A 15,994-nucleotide genomic window follows, 5' to 3' on the forward strand; every position below is an offset into this window, starting at 1 on the left:
TCGTGTGAAAGTTATGTTAGGATTGGCTGAACAAAGAAGTATCTGTGCAGCTGCTGGCACTTGTGGCCTATGGAGAAATATATCAAATGAAGATCATAGAAATTTGATTGTAGCGGATTAATGAAGAAACTGCTTAGTTAAGTCATTTTTTGATCTATTTGATTTTAGGTTTGGTTTATGAAGACCTTGGGTAAGGAACATACTCCAAACTCTTGGTATTATCCTCCCAATAGTCATAATAATAGTCTCCCTGGTACACTGTATTCTCTCAAAGATTTTAAATGCTTGCATGTAGCCATCTCTAGAATGTCATATGGTCTCTCTTCAACTGGAATGACAAGAGCTGAAAGAAATGTGCAACCATGAGGACACTGTAACCTATGAATGATGTGCTGAGATGGGAAACCAAAAATGATGGTAACTGAGAGTGGCACTAAGGCCATAAGTTTTGGTCACAATCTCACCTAAGTGAGAACCTGACCAAAAGGGGGAATTTTTTAAACAAAATTATGGGAGGCCATTATTTTGGACTGAGCTCAGGCACTAGGCCCCAACAGACCAAACCAAACTAAAATGGAGCCTTTCATGCTAAGACTTTAAGGAAACGCATAGATCCTAGAACACACCACAAATCAGGTTTCATTTTTCTTCTGCAAATCCCTATAATAAATATTCCTGACAGCATAAGTATCCACCCCCTGAAGTTCCCATTAAATCTTTTAACCAAGTTCTTTTTTTTTTTTTGCCTAGAGACCATCAAGCTTCAGACCATCATGCAGCAAGGGCTCTAGCCAGTTCCAGGTGAAGACCCCACCCCGGGCCATCAAGGAGCTTCCCTGCCTCCACTAGACAGAGCAGAGTGAGAGTTCCATGATCCCCAATAGGTAGGGGCTATGCCTCAAGCCAGCATGAAGCAGTTACAGAAAAAAAGACCATCAGTTCCTCTGCCTCCCATGGGGATCACATCTTTCAGCAGGGAGATGAGGCATAAAAACAAGGTCTGGAGGCAGGGAATTCAAGGCCGATTCACACTTCAGCTATGACAGGAAATATCCTCTCCATAGGGTATAGGCCAAGTAAATGACTTTGTAACTTTACTCCTCATTTTCATAGGTTGCACCCCAAGTAAGCAATGGAATCCTCTAGAGGGTATTTCCCCAAAATTCTGTAATGGGGTCCTTGAGCCCCTATGCTCGGGCCCACTCCCACACTGTGGAGTGTACTTTCATTTTCAATAAATCCCTCATTTCTTCCTTGCTCTGTTTGTGCATTTTGTCCAATTCTTTGTTCAAGACGCCAAGAACCTGGACACCCTCCACCGGTGACAATGGCAGAAGGTGAAGGGGAAGCAAGCACATCTTACCATGGCGGATCAGGAGAGAGAAAAGAAGGAGAGTGAGGGGAGAAGTGCCGCACACTTTCAAACAACCAGATCTCCTGAGAACTCACCCACTATTACGAAAACAGCAAGGGGGAAGTCTGCCCCCATGGTTCAGTGACCTCCCACCAGACCTCTCCTCCAATACATGAGGATTACAATTCGAGATGAGATTTGGGTGGGAACACAGAGACAAACTGTATCATACAGTAATCTCAACAAAAGCTTCCAAAAGTTACTTTTGAACATCAGAGATGTAGGATATAGGATTCTCTCTCTGTCTTGGTAAATTTAATAAAAGTAGATTAACTATAAGATATTGTTAATGAAAGTAATTGACTGTAAGATTCACTGTAAGCTTACAACTATGCAGAAAGACAAGCTTTTGAATAAAGTTCAGTTATAGATTAAAAATTTAAAAACAACTTATTCTGCACAACAATGCAAGTGCCTAAATTTTGACCTGCAAAATAATAAAGAACAGCAGCAAGCTCTACTTGAGGCCAGCTTTAGTTTAATGGAGGACAGTGGCCCTAAAACAAACAAACAGCAAAACAAATGGGGTGAAAAGCAAAGGTTATTCTGGAACAAAATAACAGAGGATATTGAGGCATAGGCAATTCCCTCCCTCTCTCCCACACTCCTTCCCAGTCATCCCACTAGAACAGAAACCTTAAAAAATGGAAGAGAGGGGCCTGGCGCAGTGGCTCACACCTGTAATACTAGCACTTTGGGGAGGCCGAGGCAGGTGGATTCCCTGAGGTCAGGAGTTCAAGACCAGCCTGGCCAACAGGGCGAAACCCTGTCTCTACTAAAAATACAAAAAAATTAGCTGGATGTGGTGGTGTATGCCTGTAATCCCAGCTACTCCAGAGGCTGAGGCAGGAGATTCACTGGAACCTGGGAGGTGGAGGTTGCAGTGAGCCGAGATCGCGCTACTGCACTCCAGCATGGGCAACAAGGCGAGGCTCCCTCTCAAAAAATAAAAGAAAAAAAAGGAAGAGAGACTGAGATCCTGCTATTACAGGAATTAGGGCTCTTAAGTCAACCCATTTAGATTTAGAAGGTATAGAAAAGGATGACGTGCTTATTGTTTCCTTTTAAACTTATATTCACTGACAGTCTTACCACAAGAAATATAACTACTTCATAATAATATCATTTGATGTTTTGATGAACAAATAAACAACATATCTTACTCTTGTAAGATACTTACAATATGTAAACACTTTTTATTTTTGCATTTATTGAATATAAACTCTCATATGTTGCTATTTTCACCTGTTACTACATGCTAAGGAATTCTCAATATTCCTATGGTTATCCTTTTATTTTGAAAGGGCACATAATATTCTATAATGCTTATGTGCTATAATTTATTAAAACCATTACCTAATGACAGACATTCATATTTGTTTTCTTTTGGGGGGTAGGGGAGAGAGAGTAGTGTAGAGCTAGTGTATGTAAGCTTTTGCTTCTATTTAATTATTTGCCTTAAGTTTATTTTACTTTGAAGTTGAACTGACTGGGGTTGCAGATGGTTGGCTTACTTCCATTCCCCACATTCAGTTGTCTATAAAGGAACAGTTGACTTTTTAAAATGAAAACAAAACTTTGAGTCTCAATTTGAACAATAACAAAATTCTCTTTAATCAAAAGTTAAACAAAAAAGTGGAGAATTTGAAAAAAGGGCTGCACCAAATTTTTTTATTGTATTTTTAAGCAAACCTTTAATATTTTAAGATTGTATTTTAATTTTAATATTGTATTTTTAAGCAAACTTTTGGAATACTTTTAGATTTCATAAAAAACTTATGAAGATAGTACAGAGAGTTCCCATATATTCCATACCCAGTTTTCCCTATTGTTAACATATTATGTTAGTATGGCATACTAACTAATGAACCAATAATAATATATTAGTATTTACTAAAGTCAATACTTTATTCAGATTTCCTTCCTTATAGTGTATTTGTTTTAACCATTGTGACAGCTTTCTTTGTACAATAGGTATTCGTATATGAAATATTGATTTCTCATTTTTCTTTTCTTTTCTTTTTTTTTTTAGACAGAGTCTTGCTCTGTTGCCCAGGCTGGAGTGCAGTGGTGCAGTCTCGGCTCACTGCAACATTTGCCTCCTGGGTTTAAGCAATTCTCCTGCCTCAGCCTCCCAAGTAGCTGGGATTACAGATGCCTGCCACCACAGCAGGATAATTTTTGTATTTTTAGTAGAGATGTGGTTTCACCATGTTGGCCAGGCTGGTCTCAAAGTCCTGACATCAAGTGATCCACCCACTTCAGCCTCCCAAAGTGCTGGGACTACAGGTGTGAGCCACCAAGACTGGCTGAAATATTGATTTCTAAAAATCAATTTATACTGGTACAAATGGACTCTGTGAATTAGCCTAGAAGACTTAAGGGGAAAAGAGCTTATAGAAAATCCTTTCTAACTCACCACACAGATATGTCTAGGCAGGGGTCTTGCAGATAGAAAAGAGGAAAGCCAACATCTTCTCTTTCCAATTCTTTGCTCTCACCCTTCTTCCACTGGTCCCTGAGGCAGGGAATTGCAATGGATAGGCATTCTCTGTTAGGACACAGTGAGAAACAATGGTAATCTAGTTTTGGTGGTATAGCAAAATCAATACCAATTTCTTAAATGAGTGAGTGAATGAATAATGAATGAATGAAAGCATTTCCTAGGTGGTGAATCCTTGAATAGGGTATATCTTGCGTGAGTCAAGGTTAGGAACTATATAGTTTACCCTCATCTTTACCTTAACAAGATTATTCAGGGTAGACTTCTGGAAGAAATACATTTTGTGCAATTTTGAGTTTTGAACTAGGAATAGAGAGACTAACTTAAATGATACAAAAGAGGAAATGATTTGACATAAACAACATGAAAAAAGTCATAGTGAAGGAAATAGAGAAAGGCAAAGAGGCCTGAACATTCCTTCGATTTGCTTAAATTAAGTGCCGCTTTTAATTTAATCAAATGGAAATGGAAGGAGATTGATTACCTATTGTCTGGGTAGGTTATTTGGGTGAGGCGCTAAAAGCAATAAAGACTCATCTAAATTCAGTGGGAGGAGATGAGGCAGTCCTTGTTGAATCTTTTTTTTATTTGGCTGCAGCTTTTTGTGCTGATCAGGATGTAGAGAGTGACCAAAGTCAGGAAGTAAGGAACAGAAGAGGCTTCATTAATCCACAGCCAGGACAAATGATTGACCATAGTTTCAATGTGGAAGGAAACATTTGTGAAGCTATTCCAGGGAAAGAGGCAGCCTCCTCATTTGAAAGCCATTTTGAATAACAAACAAATAATAACGTAATTATTTCTTTCTCTCCCTGACTTCTAAGATTCTCCTTTTTATTTTCTTTTTCTTTCTTTTCATTATTTGTCAGAATTAGATACTAATTCTTGTTGAATAATTACAAGGCCTATGACGTTTTAAATGTGAATATTGGTAAGTTTCATTTATTTCATCGAGGGGTCAGTAACACAGAAAGTTCAAACTTACACTTCTTTAACTTTAAATTGCATTAATGTATTGGAGTACACAAAGGCAGACAATTCTTTTTAGTTTCATTTTGCTTAAATTAACAGTGCGGTTTACATACTCACAAAACATAATACAGTTTTGTATTATGTCAACAGGAATCAATCAAGAGGAAGTCTGAGAAGGAATTTCAGAATTTAGGATTTTTAGGGGAAAACCTTGAAAATTTGAAACTTTCCATGAAAAATAAAGCTAAGAATTGAGAGCCTAACGATAATATGAATACAAAATATTTTAAAAATTAGAATCTTATCCCATTAATAATTACTTTCCAAATATAAATCCTACTGGGTAACTTTAACTCCAAAAAGTAAATAGGTTCAATAGATGTAAAATAACAAAGGTTAAAATAGTGCAGGACCAGGCTATAATTGTAAAGTCATTGTAACAACTATGGAGGTAGCTTTGATTAAAGAGATTAATAGTCAATACTTAGAAAAAAGTCTAGGTGACCTGACACTGAGTTTCTAATTTAGATTACCAGTTACCCTTGGGGGACTTTTAACTGTGTACCAGTTTTTCAACTTTTGCAATTTTGATAATGAACATGGATTGTTTAGAAAAAAATTAAAACCAATAAAATGATAAACACCGAGCTGTTTGCTTGCTAATATGTCTTTAAATTAAGGTGGCTTATCTGAGCTATATAAATCTTGAATGACCCTATTTAGGAAATTGGTTTGAGACCATAACATAGTCCAAGATTTTTTATTAGAGATTCAAGTGTTCTTTACACTAAAGGAAAATTAAATGAAAATTTAAACGGAAGAATGGCATTATCCCCCTTTGAGCAATACAATTCTAAGTTGTTTATAACGCTCTTTCTCACTAAGCACTCATCCCGTAGGCTGCCTGCCTCTCTTACTCACAAATACAACTCTGAAGTTGTTAGTGGGGATCACCAACAGAGGGGAGAGTTTGATCCCACAGCACATAGCAACACTTCCTAGGAATTCTCTATTAATGCCTCTCTCTTTCTCCATGATTCCATTTTCTATGGAAGTTATTGTGTATCTTTCTTCTCTCTTCCAGAAAAATCCTTTCAGCTGTGCCAGTAAAATTCCTGCCACTCTCTTTCCCTACTTTCATGTACAAAGCTTCAAATGTGCTCACATACCACAATTAGCTAGACAAAACCAAAACAAAACATCACCAAATCAAACCAATAGCAACTTATTCATCCCTCTAAGCATATCATTAAGGAGGCTCAATTTATCCCATCAAATAATATCTAAAAAATAAACTAGCTGAAAGTAACTTTTTTAAATGTAAGAGGCAAGGTGAAGCATTCCATTTCCTGATCGTAGTCCTATGCTGTAACTGCTATTTCTTTCCTCATGATATTCATTTCACCCTCATGGTTTAGCCTTCATGGGTGTACACAAGGTCACATACCAGTCTATCTGTGACATTTTTTTAATATGGGAAAATATTAAGCCACCAGCTGAGTCATTTATCCAAGAAGCATCTTTAAAAGTGCTGTGGAAAAATGACCTAAATTTATAGGTCAGAGTTTCAAGAGCTAGTTTAAGTGAGTCAGTGTGTGCACATGCCAGCCTTTTTCTTGTTATTATTATTTTAAATGTTTATTCAGCTGATGGTAGGAAGGTACTTCAGTAACAGCTGTTAATGGAATCAGAGCCTGCTTTGGAGAAAGCTATGGTATACAGGGTTTTTGGAAATGAGTGAAAAGGAAGTCATCTAGTTTCATGGTGGGGCCCATTGATCGGATACCCCAGGAACCATTACAAATATTGCGTACAGTCTATAAGCCCATGAGTGTGTGTGTGTGTGTGTATGTGTGTGTGCACGCACATGTGTAGGGGATTCAGATGCTTCACTATCTTCCTCTCTGCCATTACTGCAGAGCATTTGCATTCTTAGGTGATGAACAATGGAGACATAGTGAAGCGACATCAAATCATATCAAATGCAAAACAGAGTTCAACTGTGATTAATGAGTATGTTAAGATGTGAAGTTGTTTGTCTTTCTAACTTCTCTGAAGACAAATGAATTGATGAAATAATATATTGTACTTAGAAGTTATTATAGGTGCATTATTGTTCACAACAGAAAACTATGACTCTTAGTTAACACCATTATACCTGGAAAAATTGTTCTAGCCCTGATGGTTTAAGATTTGCATCTATAATGAAACCCAACTGTAGGCACAATGAGGACAAGAACTAAGTCACCATGTTTACCATAATGTAGTGCCTGGGATGCAACAGGCACCACAATAAATGTTTGCTGAATAAGTAGTAATTTAGGGCTACATTGTAGATCTGATCTTTCCTGATCTGAGGAACCTTATAATGGCATAATGATGATGATGATCATAAATAATAGCTATGATTTACTAAGTCCTTCTTTGTTCCTGGGACTGGAATTGTAAGTTTTACACATATTATTTCACATTTCATATTATCCTAGGGAATATTGTTACCAACATTTCACAGATGACCAAACTGAGTTATACTGTTCCCACTAAACCCCACCCAGAGCAGTCTGACATTAAAACCTGATCTTTTTACTGCACTTCTTTAGGCAAACACATTCTATATATACACCGTGAACATAGAACTAAGTTAAGGAGAGAGATTGAATGTAATATACACTCTTAGATGTTAAGGAAATAGTTAAAGGCAAATTAAAATACTGGATATATTGCAAGGCCCATTTGCCAAATGATTGGTACGGAAAACCAGTGTTACAATTTCAAATAAGAAGAGATTGCTGTGTCCCAAGGAGCTCACAAAATGCTTCATGAGGGAAAGAAAGTTGTACTGGACATTGAAACATGAATAGAATTTGAATAGGAAGATGAGGGGAAGTATGTGAACCAAGCTGAGAAGCAGGAACACACAATGGATGTTTAGAGAACAACAGGGAGACTAATGCGGCTGAGGCTGGCTTAGGGAACAGCTCTCATTTAGGAAAGTGTTCAACAATACGTTACTGGGACACCAGCGGTGGGCAGCTCACATGTCCAGATAAGAAGTTTGGAATGTGTCCCATGACAAAAAAAATGTTTGAGATAGTATTTTATTGAAAGCAATTATTTTGTTTTCCATTTAAAAATATTTTATCTCTGTTAACTTTTTGGTTATCTTCATCCAAGTCTTATTTCCTTGAATATGTTATATAAATTGGGATTATTTTCTATAAACAGTTTGAAATGGAATACATCAAACTTAAAATTGAGTCTATATCCCAGCAGCAGAAGTGTTTCTTGTTGCAGCAAGGTGTGCAGGCCAGATGCCTGTGCTGGAGGCACACAAGTACACAAATAAACTAGGCTTGTGGCTTGCAGTTGTGTGTGCCTGTGAATGGTCTCCAGTAGTGGCTCCCAAGATTGCATTCTCAGAATCCCTGGGACCCTGAGTCATTTCTCAAGGTCTGCTGCAGGGAAGAGGTGGAGCTGGTCAGGGAGCTCAGAGCCTCTGTCCTTCTTCAACCACTGCAACTCCTCAACATTCACTAAGTTGGGGTTACACATACATTTTTATTTAAAGAATAAATTCTGCTCATGAAATTCACTTGAAAATGTCTGCCCCTTGACAAACATGGACACTCATTGCATGGTCTGGAGCAGGAATATCATGTTTTGGATCAGTGAGCATGCACTATTTACAGATGAAAATACCATGTTTGTGCTTAATGCTTTCAGTTGTCCTTTGCCTTTCTTATAACTTTATGCATTTTTTACATCTTGCATTTTAAAAATATTACATTTTCCTCTGTGATTTGTTTCATAGTCTTTCTGTTCCAATTTATCATTTTTTCCAAAGGAATTTAACAATCATTTTTAAGCTTCTCAATCCTCATCCTCACTTGTCTATACATACATCTCCAAAATTGTGTTTTATAATGATGATGAATGGTTTCGGCACTTTCATACAGATTGGACCCTTATAAGGAAAGTCCAGAGCAGTGGATTTTCCTTGGGCCACTTTATTGGAATTACTAAATCAGCCCCTCTGGGGGTGGGACCCAGGAATCTGTATTTCAAGCAAGTTTTCTGTGGTTGAAAGACATGGGTGTGGAGGCACAGGTACACATTAAGAGGACCCTACACAGTCTAGGCATGAAGTGATAGGGTCTGAATAAAAGTGATGATCGTGATATAAAAACGGACAGGTATAATCTATTTCAAGGCAAGAGTTTGACCATATTTGTTTTGAGCATTTGTTTCTATTGAGTTTGAGTTTAGGGGGTTGATAAAAAGCTATGCCACTAATGAAAATATCGACTTGAGGAAGGCTTTTTTCCCTTTGGGGAAAACAATTAATTTATTTGTAACATGTCAAAATTGACATACTGCCAAGATTTCCAATAATAATTTGGCTCAGGTGAGAGAAGGCTGTGAGCAAAAGATGCTCAGGGGTTAAAGCATGGGCTGTGGGAGTGACGATACATCCATCTTTGCCACTTGCAGGCTACAGCTTCTTGAGTGACCTCGAGCAGATAATTTAATTTCTCTAAGCCTTAGTTTTGTTGCAGGCTTGGAAATGGGAGGTGGATGCAATGATTGTCCATGGAGAGAGGACTGTGAAGCTCTCAGGTTGGATTACTTCTCCTGTGGGGAGCTGATAAGAATAAAAAGCAGAGGATAATGGGCTGAGTCCTGAGGAGCTACTACATTCAGAGGATGCTAGGAAGAAGGGGAAGCAGCATGGGGGTTGGAGGAAGTGCAGGTAGAAAAACAAATCTAGCTCTCTAGATTCCTCATATCTCTCAGTCCATCAGCTGTAGTTGGACAGTGATTCCTATTCAGTTTTTGTTAGCAGCAGGACTCTTTCTTTAAATGCATTCCATGGAAAAATTCTGGAGAATGAGGGCCTTCCAAGGTGAACCTCCAGACATCTCCCTGGGCTTGAACCCCAGGATGTAGGATATTTGTAGCTGGGAGGCCAATACTCCCTCCATCTATGAAGTTGCAAACTGAACCTAGTATACCTAAAAGTCCAGAAGAAACCTTACCTTAGTTATGTGAAGGTATCAGCTGAGTACTGACCAGAGGGCTTGAAGAAGGCAGGTTTTGAAGTCACATGTTTGTCTCTGCATGAAAGTGTTACTGTCACTGATACCTACTTTACTGTAACCTTCCAGCAGTCAAGAAGTGAATTCTACTTAAGTACTTTACTATCTTTCTCATTCTAAACTATTGTGGATGTTTGTGTTATTTAATTTAAAGTAGTTATTATTCTTAGTTCACTAGACAGTTGATAATAAAAGCTTGGAAAAGAAATACAAGGAGAGCAGGTGACTACAGAGAGGAATGCAGGAAGTTCATGATAATTTATGTTTTATGACCCATTATCTCTTTTCCCCCTTATCTATTGCCTTGCAGATGAATTCTGAATTTGTCTAATGTATATTTTAAGTATCTGTCAACATGATTTCTATAACTATTGTAGCATTAACCTTGATTATTCCTTTGCCTCAGTACAGATTCTAGTGTTCCAAATTCTACTTGATAAACACTGTCCTCTGTCAAGAAAGATAGCAATGCAACCAATTAATTTCCCTTTTAAGACTGATTCTGGCTTTTATAGTCTGGTCTTTGGGGGACTGAAATTAGACCACAAATTACTTTAAAGAAGAACAAAAAATTCTGCCAGGCAATAGCAACTTCCTGTAATTTTTCTGAGATTTAGAGATCATGTTGCAGAGCTAATACAGAAGTTCAAAGCTTTTCCTGGAAAAGTGGATCCATCTATAACTTGTGGTACTTGAGGAGTAATTTGCCTAAATCATCAAGTTGTGGTTCTCAAATTTTTGTGTGAATAGCAACCACTCACACTACTAACTAAAATACAAATTCCCAGATTCACCCTCTGATATGTTGAGTTCAGTAGGTATGGGATAGAGACCAAGGCTCTGCTTCTTAAAGAACTACTCCAAGTGACTTTGATACAGGTTGTCCATGGGTCACACTTTGAGAAATTCTGGTGTGTAGAGTAGGTTCACATAAAGGAAATCTTTTGAGGGAAGCACTTTGATAGAGATCACTGGAGTGGATAAATCATGGAGAATTTCCACTTCACCCAGCACCCTGTGTTTACATAGGTACAGAGCTGCATGATGCCTGGTAGTGAGCTGGTGTGAGTAAGGTAATTTTACTTAAACCTGGGAATGAGGAAGTAAATAATCAGGGATATCATTGTCCTACCATAGTTATTCAAGCAATCCTATCAATGATGTTTTGGTCATTCCATAGGCTCCTCAGATGGTATCCTAATTAACTTTCAGAAGACACACTTGCTTTTCCTTGAGTTCTGTAAGCCTTTTAAAAAATGAATAATAAGCACTGCAAATCCACCTGTTTAGAAATTACCTTGATAACCATGTTTCATACTTTAATTATAGAAGTTTATTTTCATTATCTGTTCTTTCCTCAATATATTATCACATATTTTGACTCTCCTTTCTAACAATTCTGAAAAAAAAAACCGTAATCAAGTTACTTAAATTTGCAGCAGTTTTCTGAATTGCAAAAGAGTTGCTCTTGTAATACAAACACAAATATAAATTTATTCACGAAAACGTTTCTTTCAAAGGGAATTGTGTAAAGAGAATATTCTTATCCCACTGGTGCCAGCAATAACTAGGTAAGAGGGAAAGTTTACCTTCTTTTCTGTTGATCTTTGCTAGTAGCTGTAACTACTAGTTGTTAAGACATGCAGTGAAGTATTTCTGGAAGTGCACAGGGGGTCTGGCTTCAGCATTTCCCAACTATAGGAACTTAGTAATTAGTTTACTTAGTAAATTGTTTACTACTTTCTACTCTCTGTTTCCTCTTATATATATATTCAATACATTTTATTTTATACCCACTATGTGTGCCATCTGAGTGTGCTGAGATCACATTGATAGCACTTTGAAAGGGTGGTGATGGTGATGAAGATGGAGAGAAGTAGATAGAGGCATTGTGTCATCTAAGCTTCAAATGAGATTAATGCATGTAAATATTATTTCAAGATATAAGGTGCGATACAAATGTAAGTTATTAATATTTTCTCATTCCCTATCCCTGTCTTCCCAGGTAATTCAAGCATCCTGAGGTATTTATTTGAAGGGCCTTGTAGATATGTATCTACATTGACCACTTCATTGAACACTGTACATATAAAGATTAGAAATAACCTAAATAACCATCTAGAGGGAACTGATGAAATAAATTATGGTACTTTTATATACAGGAATACCTAACGGTAACAATGACAATAAGTAACCTCACTGAGCACTTACTGGATCCCAGAGGTGACGCCAAACTTTGTTTACACATTAAGTTGCTTAAGTATTATAACACCCCTATGAGGAGAAATAATTATTATTCATGTTTCACAGACAAGAGAACTGAAGAACAGAGAGGGTAAGTAATTTGCCCAACATTTCAAAGCTAATAAGTGATGAAACTAAAATTTGAACCCAGACAGTTTGGTCCTTAGTCTCTGCACTTAATGCTAGTCTTTTTCACAGTTAGAATGAGTAAAGCAATTCTGTATGTAGGGAAAGGAACACTCTCCAAGATATATTGTAAAGTGAAGAATAGCTACCATTTACTAAAGGAAAGAAGGAAGAAAGGAAGGAAGGAAAGAATAGAAGAAAAAGAAAAGGAAATATTATGAGAAAATGTGCATGCATGTGCATAGAATATCTCTAGAAGGGTACACAAGGAAATGATAACAATGGTTGCTTTCTGGGAGGGTCTCTGGATAGCTGGAGAACAGGATGAAAGAGTTAGCATTCACTACAAGCCTCCCTGTGTCTTTTGATTTTTGAACCCTGTATTATCATTTAAAAAGTAAATAGATTTTTAAAAAGTAAAGACCTCATAGTAAATCTTTGTAAAGCAAATAGTAACCTTGCAACATATATCTTATTTCCCAGGATATACTCTGCAATCAGGGATTCACATTTCAGGTGCCTAGAGGACCTCAGTTTCAGGATAATGACTTCAAGTGATTTCCTTATATGTTGCTCTGTGACCTGTATCAGCATGCAGCTAAGGAAGTAAGCAATACTCAAAGGAATTGGCCTCAGTCAGCCTTCTCATGGCTGTGTTACAATACAGGCCTTTCCCCTGGCAGCCCAATTCAGGCTAGCCCAGAAGGGCCTCTATCTGGAGCCTTTCAGCTCAGGCCAGCACATAAAGGTTTAAAGCCTGGTAGACTGAAGAGTAACAGGCACATGAAATGTATCTAATACATATTTTTTGAATGATAAACCAAAAAGAGCAAAACAGGACAAAAGAAAAAATGTAACTGTGCAAATTTATGTGCTCTATATTTATACAATGGTGAGATAGATTTTTTACCTGTGTTTAATAAACTGGCTCTAAGTTCACTATGAAACAAGTTCACATAATGGCTCATTAAGCAAGAGCCATTAGCTTCAAAGTCATCAATGATACAAAAAGTTCTGTTTAATGTATCTTTTACCGCATGGGTGGGTAGGTGGAGGTGGGCACAGGAACAGGATATTAGCTTTTTCATCATAACTCGTACCATTTATCCAGTACATAAAAATCCTTGAAAATGATAAAGGCAAAACATCATGTTCTACTAATAGAATTTTAACTTTAAATAGAGACTTCTAGGAGCTGAAGTTAAAATAGGAAACTTTGGGGATTTAAATTTCAGGATCAATTTGGCTACGTGGCAAGAAAAGGCACTAAGGTTTTTAAAGCATCAGAGGATGGTAAACACAGGATATGTCCAGTCTGGATTCAAGCATTTAAAGGTGTGAGAGCCCAAGTTAAATTCCTCGTCCTGATGAGATGGCAACTTAAATCAGAAGGACGTTTACTTTTAAACACCAAAAGAATGTATATAAATTGCATTATTGTTCCCAATTTTCCTCTTTCCTCCCTAAAAGAAGATTGTAATCCTGTGACTTGCCATGTGACTTGCAGTAGCACCTTCTCTATGGGAGGAATATACTTCCAATTCCACTTATATCAGGTTTGACTACATGACTTGTTTTAGTCAGTGAAATGTGACTAGAAGAAACACACAGGATGTCTGAGCAGAAGTTTTAAGTGCTATTACATAGTTCTGCCATAGTTCTCTTTTATGTTTGCCCCTAGAGTGACACATACCAAAGAAAATCTGCTCCTTCAGCCTGGATTCTGGAATAAAGGACACATCTGGAGCAGACTCTGAGACAATCCTTAGTTGATTTTTAACATAAGCAAGAAATATATCTTTGTTGTTATAAGCACTAACGGCTTATAATAAAGTTTGTTACTGCAGTATAACCTAATGAAAGCTGACTAATAAAAAGTGATAACTTGAATAGCCATGCTTGCTACAGGAAAATATGAAATGAGAAAAAAGATGGGAGGAAAACATAAATTATTGTGTCAGCAGCCCCACTCCCTCAGGCTGAGTGAACGACGAGCCTGGCAGTGGGCTCAGCCTCTGGTGCAGCATGCCCAGGTCAGTGATAGGTGGGTGGCTGACATGAGCAGCTCAGCTCTAGGTTGGGCCGCTCTCTGCCCTAGGCCTCCGGGGTTGCATACATAAGGACATAGCGCTCAGAATATGTGTTTGACTATCCATGTGACATAGCCATCGAAGCTGCTATGAGAAAATATTTGAATCTCATGACCATTGTGTAGGGGAAGTAAATGCATAAAAGCAGAATATCAATGTTCTTGGAAGGCTTCACAGGCAGCACTTTCTCAGCATCAAGTGGGGATTGCTCACTCTTGTCAAAGTGATGAGACCTCAGATTTTAGAAACCAGTAGGATTTTGACATACATCAAAGAACATTTTGTAAAGGGCTGGATAGTAAATAGTTTAGGCTTTGCAAGCTGTACCACCTCTGTCGCAATGATTTGACTCTACCATTGTACTGTGAAAGCAGTCATAAACTACATGTGATGAATCATTGTGGCTATGTTCCAATGAAACTCTTTTTTTTTTTTTTTTTTTTTACAATAACAAGTGACTGGCCAGATTTGGCTTGCAGACCATGTGTTGCTGATTCTTGATCTAGTGAAAAAGAAAATGGAACTTTGTTGCACCAACAATATCATAGTCAGCAATTCGGTGTCAGTTAATGGGAAGTTGTTGTACACACCTCATTTAGAGAACCTTGAAATAACCATGCTCACTCAAGGAGCCATCATTACCACAAGTGGCATTACCCTGGGGAACCATTTGGAAAGTTTAACAGCAAATATTATATCATCAAATCCATGAAGGGTCCAGATATCTTAGCATGGGTGATCCACAAACCTAATGCAGTTTGAGGACCCCCTCTAGAAGTGACAACCAATGAGAGTACATGAAACATGCAGAGGCAACCATGAATATAGATTCTGAGAGCACAGAAAATACAAAAGTTGAGAAGTGAGTGTCTATAGAAATTCATTATTCTGCCTTGTGTCATTGTGGAATGTGCTCACTTAGTCCACACTTGGTTTGTCAGAAAGAACATTAGCTCTTAGTACATGTCAGAAGAGTAATTGTGAGTTGATTTAGGAAAGGAACACTGGAACATGGAGTTATTTGCTGTATCTTGGCTTTTTAAAAATTTTACTAGAGCAGAAATATTTTTATGTCCCAAGAAAGGCTTTTTGCTTATTAGACAAGAAATGAGCTTAAATATTTGATATTCTTTCCCCCAAAGTCCAAAACATTTAAACATAAGTTTCTTGGGAGTTTTGGTATTTAAGTTTGTTGCAATCATGGACTGAACATTCTCCTTGGCTTTTTTGCAAATCATGCTACTCTCAGAAGGTCAGAGTAGTGTTCTACAGCCTTGCTCTGTCACCGAGGCTGGAGTGCAGTTGTGTGATCATAGCTTATAGTAATCTTGAATTCCTGGCCTCAAGCAATCATCCCACCTGGGTCTACCAAAGTACTATGATTACATGGTGAGCCACAGTGCTTGGCAGAGTTCTTAAACTAGGGAGCTTCTAGCTTTTGAAAACTGCAGACTGATGGGCTTTAGAAATTCTATTAATTCTGGGGTTTGGCTCCTTAAAATGTACTTTAACCAATACTGAAGGATTGTGGTACAGTGGTCATCGAAGC

At 37.7% G+C, this 15,994-nt stretch overlaps 1 long non-coding RNA gene across 1 annotated transcript in view, besides 2 other annotated features; it reads right to left on the bottom strand.

Moving 5' to 3' along the window:
• Positions 1–3,803: 3,803 nt before the first annotated feature.
• LOC105375633 (uncharacterized) overlaps positions 3,804–15,994 on the bottom strand; it is a 101,755-nt gene continuing 89,564 nt past the window's right edge. The window contains exon 4 of the long non-coding RNA XR_928389.4: positions 3,804–3,965. This is a non-coding gene — a long non-coding RNA (uncharacterized LOC105375633). The remainder of the gene's footprint in view (positions 3,966–15,994) is intronic.
• Positions 13,918–14,418: an enhancer, noted in NCBI's record as "H3K4me1 hESC enhancer chr8:91712756-91713256 (GRCh37/hg19 assembly coordinates)". NCBI's record gives its function as "activates a minimal SCP1, AML or CMV promoter by ChIP-STARR-seq in naive H9 embryonic stem cells {active_cell/tissue: H9 hESC(naive)}" and the evidence as "EXISTENCE:reporter gene assay evidence [ECO:0000049][PMID:30033119]".
• Positions 14,419–14,919: an enhancer, noted in NCBI's record as "H3K4me1 hESC enhancer chr8:91713257-91713757 (GRCh37/hg19 assembly coordinates)". NCBI's record gives its function as "activates a minimal SCP1, AML or CMV promoter by ChIP-STARR-seq in naive H9 embryonic stem cells {active_cell/tissue: H9 hESC(naive)}" and the evidence as "EXISTENCE:reporter gene assay evidence [ECO:0000049][PMID:30033119]".

Source organism: Homo sapiens, chromosome 8 (assembly GCF_000001405.40).
Source record: "Homo sapiens chromosome 8, GRCh38.p14 Primary Assembly".
NCBI classification, from domain to species: Eukaryota; Metazoa; Chordata; class Mammalia; order Primates; family Hominidae; genus Homo; species Homo sapiens.